Below are 10164 nucleotides of genomic sequence, written 5' to 3'. Positions count from 1 at the left end.
CCGATTCCCTTTACCTAATGCTCAGTTTGTCCTTTCTTTGGCACTTTCACCTTCCTACACATGAAATGATTTAGTCGTTTATCGTGTATTAGCTTAATACCCATCTCCCACACAGCTGGAGTCACAAGGGAAGGGACTTTTGTCTTTTACTTCTTGCAATATCCCAGGTCCTAACACAGTGGGTGGCATATGGTAAGTTCTCAGTAGCTGTTTATTAAGTGAATGAATGAATGTCTCCTTAACACAGGGCGCAACATTTATAGAAACATTGAGATGATCTCCAGTTCTCTTCTGTGACAGCCCCTGGACTCTGAACCTTCACTATTACTTCTAAGGTATCATTTTAAGGATGCAGTATAACAGATGGCAAAGAGCTTCTTTTCTGCTACCCATGGGCCCGATATTCAGTCTGTGGACAGTTCTGTAATTCATTCTTTCACTCACTTTACACATATTTATTGAGTGCTTATTATTTGCCAGGCACTATGCTAGACACTGGATATATGATGGTTATTACTTAATGAATACTTACATTTTTAACTTACACTGTCTCAATTTTCATTGAATTTATAGCCTAGTAGGGGAACCAAAAATTAATGAACCATGACAACAAATGCACAATTGTATCCATAAGAAATGATTTGGTGGAGAAGTACGTGGTATTAGGAGGACGTATAAAAAGGAGTCATTGACGTGTTCAGGGAGATGGGGCTGAAATGATCATTCGGAGACACATTGTGCAGGGTCTTGTAGGCTAAGATACTTTAAAAAAATAATAACAGCTTTACTGAGACAGAATTCACATGCCATAAAGTTTACCCATTAAAATATACAACTCAATGGCTTTTAGTATATTCACAGGGTTGGGCAACCATCACTACAATCAATTATAGGACACTTTCATCACCCCCAAAAGAAATCCTATTTCCATTAAAAGTCACTCCCCATTCCCCTAAACCCATGTCTTCCCTAACCTTAAGCAAACACTAATTTACTTTCAGTCTCAATAGATTTGCTTATTCTGGACATTTCATATAAATGAAATCACATAATATATGGTATTTTTCATCTGGCTTATTTCACTTGAGGTAATTTTTTCAAGATTCATCCATGTTGTAGCATGTATTAAGTACTTCATTTCTTTTATTTCTGAATAATATTCCTTTGCATGGATATACTACATTTTATTTATTCATTCATCATTTCAGTTGCTTCCACCTTTTGGCTACTATGAATAATGTTTCTGTGAACATTCATGCATTCATTTTTGTGTGGACAGATATTTTCACTTCTTTTGGGTATGGACCTAGCAGTGGAATTGCTGGGTCACATAGTTACTCTATGTTTAAACTTTCAAGGAACTGCCAGATTGTTTTCCAAAGTGGCTGTATGATTTTACATTCCCATGAGTCGTATATGAGGTTTCAGATTTCTCCATCTTCTTATGAACACTTGTGGTTTTTCATCATTTTTAAAAATATGCATCCTAGTGGAAGACATCACCTTATGCCTGTTAGGATGGCTATTATCAAAAAGTCAAAAAATAAATGTTAGTGAAGTGGTATCTTATTACGGATTTGGATTTCCCTGATGGTTGATGTTGAATATTTTTTATATTCTTATTGGCTATTTGTTTATAATATTTGTAGAAATGTCTATTCAAGTCCTTTGATCATTTTTTAATTGATTTTTTTAAATTGTTGAATTGTAAGAGTTCTTACATATTCTAGACACAAGTTCTTTATCAGACATATGATTTGCAAATATTTTCTTCAATTCTGTGGATTTCTTTTAACTTTCATAATGGTACCCTTTGAAGTACAAAAGTTTTTTAATTTTGAAGAGGTCAAATTTTTTCTTTTTGTCACCTGTGCTTTTTCTTTTGTCACTTGTGCTTTTAGTGTCATATCTAAGAAGCCTTTACCTAACTCAAAGTCATAGAGATTTACTCCTATACTTTCTTCTACTAATTTTGTAGTTTTAGCTTTTACACTTAGGTCTATGATCTATTTGATTTAATTTTTGTATATTTATGAGAATGGGGTCCAACATCTTTCTTTTACATGTGTATATTATTGTCTCAGCACTGTTTGTTGAAAAGATTATTCTTTCTCCATTATAATTGTCTTGGCACCTTTGTTAAAAATCAACTGACCATAAATGCGAGAGTCAATTTCTGGACTCTCAATCCTATTCTATTAACACATATACCTATCTTTATGCCATTACCAAACGGTCTTGATTATGGTAGCTTTGTGGTAAGTCTTGAAATCAGAAAGTGTGTAAGTCCTACTTTATTCCTCTTTTGCGAGATTATTTTGGCTATTTTGAGTTTCTTGAGTTTTCATATGAATTTTGAGGTCAGCTTGTCAGTTTCTATAGAAAAGCCAGCTAGGATTTTGAGAGGAATTGCATTAAATTTATAGATCAATTTGGAAAGTATTTCCATTTAACAATATAGCATCTTTGATTCATGAACATAGGCTATCTCTCCATTTACAGAGGTCTTAGTTTCTTTCAATGTTTTGTAGTTTGCAGAGGATAAGTTTTATGTTTCTCTCATTAAATTTATTGCTAAGTATTTTGTTCTTTTTTATGCTATATCAAATGGGCTAAGATTTTGTTTATGTTTTAGAAGCAATGGAAAGTCATTGAAGGATTTTAAACAGGAATGGCCATGACTATGATTGTATTTTTAAAGAACCCTCTTGGGTCTGTGTTGGGAATTCATTTAAACGCATAAGAATGGGTGAGGGAAGGCCAATCTAGAGGTTACTTCAGTGGTCCAAATGAGAGACATTGATACTTAGACAAAGACAATAAACAAAAGATGGCAAAAAGTGGACAGATTTAAGATGCCTTGAGAAGGTAACTCAATAAGATTTAGTGATGGTTTGGATTTGAGAATGAGAGAAAGGGAAGTATCAAGGTTTTTATCTTGTATAACAGAATGGATGGTGGTGCCATTCATTGTGATAAGGAAAACTATAAAAGAACCAGCACATTGCCTTTAAATACCTCTCTAGAGATAATTCAATCCAATCCACATATTGTCTTTGATTTTTCCAAGACTTTTATGAAGTAGGTAGAATAAGCATTAATGTTTCCATGTGAGGGGTGATAAAATCGAGGCCACAGTGAGAAAGATCACTGATTAGAAGTCAGAATGGGATTTGGCCAGTGCTATGCTAAAAATTGCTGAGTTCCCTTGGCTATGTCAGTTAACCTCTCTTGTGGCCAGTTTATCTAATAAATGTGGTACTTGGTGAAGTTCCTAAAGTCTCTTTCTGTCTGCCTTTTTTCACTAATACTATTCATTAAAAAATACATGTGTATTAAATGACATGTGAAAGGACACAAGTGCTGATGGAGGTGGGATATGAACTCTGATCTTTTGAGTCCATTGCTCATTATAGTATGTGGCCTCTAATTTACTTTTTCCCATTTGTATTTTATGAGAAAAATAAATGTTGCCATCTTGCTCACAGACATTGGGCAGTATGGCTCATACTTGGGCCTACATGTATAATTGTTTTTAAGTTTTAGAAATAGGAATACATGAATCAGCAATCCCTTAAAGCCATAATTGTGCTCACAATTGAGTATCTTTACTATGTTTAAAATGCCCTTGAGTATCTTACTATGTTTAAAATGCCATTGAGTGTTTTACTATGTTTAAAATGCTGGTGCTTCTTGCATTAACACTCTTTCTATTCCTGCTGTGACTTTAAGTTCTCGCCAGATTTAGAAAGCTCTTATTTTCTGAGGTGGCCACTCAGAAACTTTCTCAAGAATGACTCACAGGTTGCGGCCCACAGACTAAATTTTATATAGTTAATCTCCAGTGAACCAGGAGTTCTCCATCTTTTACGAAATATGGTCTATGGGAACAGAAGGCCAGGTCTGGAATGGGAAAAGTAAATACCAAAAAAAGTGTTATTGTACATGAAAGGAGGGCAGTGCGTTCTCCCAGGAGATAGAGTAAAATAATTATGCTGAAGCATTGGCAAACCAGGCACCCAATGCCAGGCAGGAGCTGCACATGCTGAGACTGGGCGCTTGTGCTCAGCTGGTAGGTGGCACATGCTTCCTCATCTGTGGCCTCTGTAACCTGAATAAGGAAAAGGGAGGGATTCGCTTTAAGACCAGCCTTTGAATCCACGGCCTGATTGAAGGACCAGGACACACCTGATCTATTCAGTCTCTAGCAGCTTCTTTCAAATAACAAACAAGCTCAGCATTTACACTGTGTATGTAAATTTCCATCACAATAGCTGCCCTGCTTTTATGGAACTAGGAACAATTTGATAGTTCAGATAAAGGGAGAACCCTTTGAAAGAAGACACCCTGCTGAAATAACATCTCTGTCAAAGGGGCACGTTTTCTCCACACATGATCCCGTCAGAGGAGTGTCACATTGCAGAGAAATATGATAGCAACTCCAAATGATCATTTCTGCACATTTGGATAATGAATTTTAAAGAGATGACTGAAGAGCTGTTGGGCAGCCAGAACGTGCTCACCAGCTGGGCAATGTGCCATGAGCTTGGCTGTGAACAGAGGAGGAGGGAGGCGACTGTGTGTGCGGTGGAGTGGGGGCCAATGTGTCATTCCGTTTCGAGGGAAAACACAGGCTTTCAGAGAGTCTGAATGTTCACGACTTGAGGAAAACTAGATAATTTCTAAATTGGGAAGAAAAGCAATTCCAACTTATATTCTCTGGAGCAATGAGTTCCAAATGTCAATTAGGAAAAAAAAAAATTACCTTCATTCACCTACTCTGCCCTGACAGGGGAGGGTAGGACAAGAATCTGAATAGTTCATACCCCAAGGAATTCTGATTATGTGATAGGGAAACCCAGTCTGAGAACCACTAATTGGCAGAACTACCTCGAAACATAGCTCCTGCCAGAGTCAGAATGGAGGTAATAGTTAGCAGTTCTTTGCTCCATAGTTTGTACTTTCTCTGTGTGGCAAATATGTAACAGTATAATAAGGAGTCATTTTTCAAGTTAATTGAAAGATGTTCTAAATGAGAGAGGATTTTGAAAAATAAAATGAGTAAAAAACTGCATAATGTTTTAGCCATTTTAACCTGTGTTTGGACAGCTTGGGCTGCTATAACAAAATACGATAGACTGGGTGACTTAAACAACAGATGTTTATTTCTCACAGTTCTGAAGGTTGAGAAGTCCAAGATCAGAGTACCAGCATGGTTGGGCTCTTGGTGACAGCCTTCTTCCTGGCTTATACACAGCTGTTTTTTCATTGTTGCCTCACATGGCAGAGAGAGAGAGAGGAAGAGAAAGAAAGAAGAGAGAGAGAAAAGGAGAGGTGGGAGAATAGAGTGAGCAAGCTCTGGTTTCTCTTCCTCTTCTTCTAAGGACACAAATCCCATCGTGGGATTCCCACTCTTGTGATTTCATCTATACCTAATTACCTTCCAAAGGCCCCGCCTCCAAATACCATCATATTGGGGGTTAGGCTTCAACATATGAATTTTGGGGGACATAGATATTCAGTCCATTACTTGGAAGCTGTTTACCACCTCCTCAAAGCTGAGCCAAACTAAGCCTCCCCAGTTGAAGTGGCCAGCACTCATGGGACTGAGTTTCTGAGAAGTGATGGGACTATCTTTGCATCTTCTGCTTCCAACGCTTTTGGATGTTTCTGTCTTAGTCTATTTGGGTGACTATAAAATAATATTATAAACTAGGTGGCTTATAAACAACATAAATTAGTTTTTTACAGTTTTGGAAGCTGAGAAGTCCACAATCAAGGTGCCAGCAGATACAGTGTCTGGTGAAAGCCTGCTTCCTTATACGTGATGCCTTCTTGCTGTGTCCTCACATGGTAAAAGAGGCACAATAGCTCCCTGGGACCTCTTTTATAAGGGTACTAGTCCCATTCACGAGGGCTGCAGCCTTATGACCTGATCATAGACCCCACCTAGTAGTATCATCACATTGTGATTACATTTCACCATTTGAATTTTGGGGGACATAACATTCAGCTATAGCAGTTTTCTTGCAGGGAAGGGGCATGAAAAAGAGGCTGAATGGGCAGTTACAGGCAGGAGCTGAGACGATAGCAACACCCATAAAACTAGAGGACACAAGCTTGGGTAAGGAAACAGAGAGAGCAGGGTTGGGGTGGTGGAAGGGAAAAAGAAAAAAAGGCTTACTGAAGATCAATTCACCAAGAAGGAAAAAATAGTTGGTGACTTAACTCTTTGTTTCTGGACTTATTATTATTATTATTTTTAATTGACATAATTGTCCATATTTTGGGAGTACAGTGTGATACTTTGATACATGTATAAAATGGGTAATGATGAAGTCAGGGTAATTAGCATATATCACCCCAAACATGTGTCATTTTTCTGTGTGAGGAACATTCAAAATCCCCTCTTCTAGCTATCTGAAAATACATAATACATTGTTGTTAATTATAGTTATCCTACATTGTTATGGAACCCTATAACTTATTCCTTCTACCTGGCTGTAATTTTGCACCTGTTTACCAGCTTCTGGCTATCTCTTTTTCTGAAAGTTCTGTTCAGAGGGTCAAAGGCATAGCTCACCTACCAAGGGGGTAGATGCACACTACCTCCCTATCTCTGTCTCCTAACCCTGTGAGCTTTACATCAGATTTTAGAAACTGGAATGTTGTCTCCAGAGAGTATGGCTCAGGATTTGCCTCCCTTGGGTCTCTGCAGAGAATGGTATGAATTCCCACTTCCATCCAAGTCTCCCACCCAAGCCAGAGCTCCTTGCTTCAAGTCTAAAAATACATTCCTATTGCACTTAAAATAAGATTTTGCCTTCACACTCTGATATTCCCACTTCCGTTAGTACATTCGGTAGTTGGGATGATAATTATATTCAATCTTCTTAAAGATAGATGAATTGAGCTTCACTCCAGCCTAAGGTTCCCATGTGACCTAGCATTAAACCCTGGCTTTACTCCCTGATTTATGCCCTTACCTTATAGATATGGGCTATTTTCCCCACAGGATCATAAGCTTCTCCAAGACAAGGAATAGGTCTTATTCGACTTTGGATCCCAGAACACAGCACAGTGCTTGGCACTCAGTAAGGGGCCAGTGACATGCTGAACAGAACTGAAATCAAGTTATTCTGATATAGCCCCTCTGGAGACCATTACACATATATCATCATGGGTTAAGAATTCAATGAGCTAGGTCACAATTCTGTCTTGCCAATATTGGGAATGTGTATATATATATATTATATATAATATATATATATATATTATATATTATATATTTTATATATATATATATATATATATATATTTTTACCCGATACAGATACTGAGAAAAAGTTTGGAGACCAGCTGTAAATAGAGTCAAGAGCATGCATATTCCTTCAGACTGCTGGGCTCCTCCAACTTCCAAGGGTCCAAGGCAGAGCCTGGGTATCCCAGGCAGCTACCCCTGAGGTGGGTATGAAGAGTCAGAGGTCAATCCCTTTGGAACCCAGGCCATGAAGCTGGGGAAGGTGCCCAGGTTGGAGTCCTTTCACACTGCTGTGAGCCAGGCTTTCTGCTGTCTTTAAACCTAGATGATTCAGGCTGCTGGCCTAGCCCCTCCAGATTCAAAGGCCCTTTGCCTGGGCTGGAACTGTCCTCACCGTCCATGGGTCATTAGGACGCTTCATCCTTTCATCTAGCCAACCAACATTTCCTGGACGTATGTTGCCTTCCTGCACTTCTGGGCCCAGCTCCTGAAGAGCTTGTGGCCGTGGTGGCCAGGAGGTGCAGGACCTCCTGCTTCTGAGACTGACCTCTTCCCGGGCTTTCTTCTCTGTCCAGGAAGGTGCCTATGCCCCTGCTGTGTGTCAACTCTGCTGTCTCTGCAGCCATCTCAGGAGTTCAGAGAGCTCATTTTCCCTCTTCTTATATCAAAGTTTCCTGTGTGTTAACAATGAAAGATACCAAAACTAGCTAATGAAAATTGTGGCCTAATATTTATATTTAAGAAAATGATTCATTTAATAAGAAATGTCACACTTTGCTGATGTTTATACACAAAACGCTATTAAAAATATTGGTCTGAAACAAGACATCAAAAATTTTGTAGCAAAATAATATAATTTAAAAATTGATAAAACAGAATATCATAACTATTATGATTTAAATCATTGTTACATTCTGTTCATAATCTATTAATTCTAAAAATAAACCAAAAATGGCCCATCACAGAAGGAAGTGTCACACAATATAAATGGGCTAATTACAAGATAATTTTAGGAAATGTAGAAAATATTAATTTATAGTGCCTTAGAGACAGTCTGGGTCTGGGAATTTAAAATTGAATGGTGACATCTTTCCATCCTCTAATTTTATCTCTGCTATACCCACAAGCTTAAAAGTTGAGGCTTTCTGTGACTGTGCGGCATAAGAACAATGGGTTTTTGCCCCTTCTTTGTCCCCTGAGATGGCATTATAAATAGGCCCTGCCCCCACCAACCCTGCCTCCAGGATGGCAGCCTGTGAATGCAGAACGCCTATAGCCTTCTAGCCGTGTCTGTGGCAAGGGCATGTGCCAGTGGGGAAGCACGAGCTTTGGACCTGAGGACATCTGGGACAGCTCTTGGTGTCAGTGCTCCACCCATGCCTGGGTCCCTCTACCATTGGCAAGCACCTGTCTAGTCTCATCCCAACAACCAGCTTCTGTTTCTCTTAGCCAGAGAATTTCCATGCTGTAAATGACATCAATGACTGCTGGAACCAATATGTTAGCAGAGTAGGAACATACCTGGAAGTTTACATTTTGCTGGGAGGTGTCCTCAACTAAGGACCTACTGTTGCAGGGGTATAAATATCCCCGCTGTCCTGCCTCCTGACTGGATCACTCTAAAGACTGACATTGTCTTCAGAGCCTACTTTCAGGCCTTTCCCTGACATTGCCTGTTTACTTGGTCTATTTCCCTTCCTGGCACCATGATTTGTGATGTGAGTGCTAGAAGAGGATTCAGAATTTGATTTTAATTACTCTTAGTGTCATCTCCTGACCATGGACATCTTAAGTGGTTTTTGTCAGTGTTTACTTTGAAAAGAGAAGTCCTGTCTCTCCCAGGGCCACTGTCTTCAGAGCCTCTGGGTTGGTGACAGGCTGCTGGGGCTGGGGTTCCCATGGGGGAGATGAGGCTGAGCCCAGAATGAGAATCAAATGGCCCTGCATTCAGGAAACTCTCAGAATTTGTCACCTTATATACAATATCTGTAGTCAAATCCAAGTGATTCATTTCCTTTTTCTGAAGCCACAGAGCTATAGGGATCCACTCTCATGCTTCCTCCCTAGCCGTCTTCATTTTCCTAGCCTCCTTCATTTCACTCACTTCATTCTTCCTAAACACAGTGAGATTCTTTTAGGTCAGCTGCCCTCAGCCTCTATTCTCTGGGGTCTTTAACATCTGCTTTGGGTTGCTACTTCAACTCCTGAAGAACTCCCCTTTGCTGTTAATTATAAATGCAGGTGGTATAAATAACCATTTGAAATGAGTCAGAGATGACCTGATAAAGTCCTCTGCATTGAGCAGGCTAGATGGCGCTGGAAAGAGAGGCTGGGCTGAGCAGGTGGTAGGAGAAGGTTCCCTTGGGTACAGGAAGTGGGAGTGGGAGGGCCGTGTGCCCAAGTGGAAAGAGCATTTCAAGAACAGCTTTGGCTCAATTGTGGCCGCAGAATCTGGCAAGCACACCACAGGCTTTGTTGCCTTCAGTGCCAAAAGCCAAGAAAACCAGCCCTTGCTGGCCTTGGAGCGAGCAGGGAGAAGAAAAATCCGAGGAATACATTGTCTGACTGTCGCCGTGGACAAGTGTTCCCGTGCAAGCAGATGACCTCTTTCCCGGAACAAAGCTCCATGTTTTAATAGCAGAAATCTCCCAGAAGGAAATGTCAAGGTAAACAAGTGTTGGGGCAGATTATACAGCGGACTCCTCCCGTCTAGAATTCTCTTTTTGGAAAGTGCTCTCTGAAGGGTTGTAGCCTCTATAGCATGAGCCCCCACAAAGATGGGTTTCTGTCCTCCAAGGAAAAGCATGTCAGGTAATCCCTGATGGAAAGGGGAACTTCAGAGGAACATAGGGATAGAGCTTTATTCCCAAGGGCAAAGCAGGCGGTGGCACGGAACAAATGCA

At 39.9% G+C, this 10164-nt stretch overlaps 2 annotated features.

Annotated features, from left to right (window-relative positions):
• Window positions 9411–9460: an enhancer, noted in NCBI's record as "active region_22663". NCBI's record gives its function as "activates an Ori minimal core promoter by ATAC-STARR-seq in GM12878 lymphoblastoid cells {active_cell/tissue: GM12878}" and the evidence as "EXISTENCE:reporter gene assay evidence [ECO:0000049][PMID:35858748]".
• Window positions 9481–9550: an enhancer, noted in NCBI's record as "active region_22662". NCBI's record gives its function as "activates an Ori minimal core promoter by ATAC-STARR-seq in GM12878 lymphoblastoid cells {active_cell/tissue: GM12878}" and the evidence as "EXISTENCE:reporter gene assay evidence [ECO:0000049][PMID:35858748]".

Source organism: Homo sapiens, chromosome 5 (genome assembly GCF_000001405.40).
Source record: "Homo sapiens chromosome 5, GRCh38.p14 Primary Assembly".
Taxonomy (NCBI): domain Eukaryota; kingdom Metazoa; phylum Chordata; class Mammalia; order Primates; family Hominidae; genus Homo; species Homo sapiens.
The sequence above is the reverse complement of the archived record's forward strand: the minus strand, read 5'-3'. Positions and strand labels throughout refer to the sequence as shown.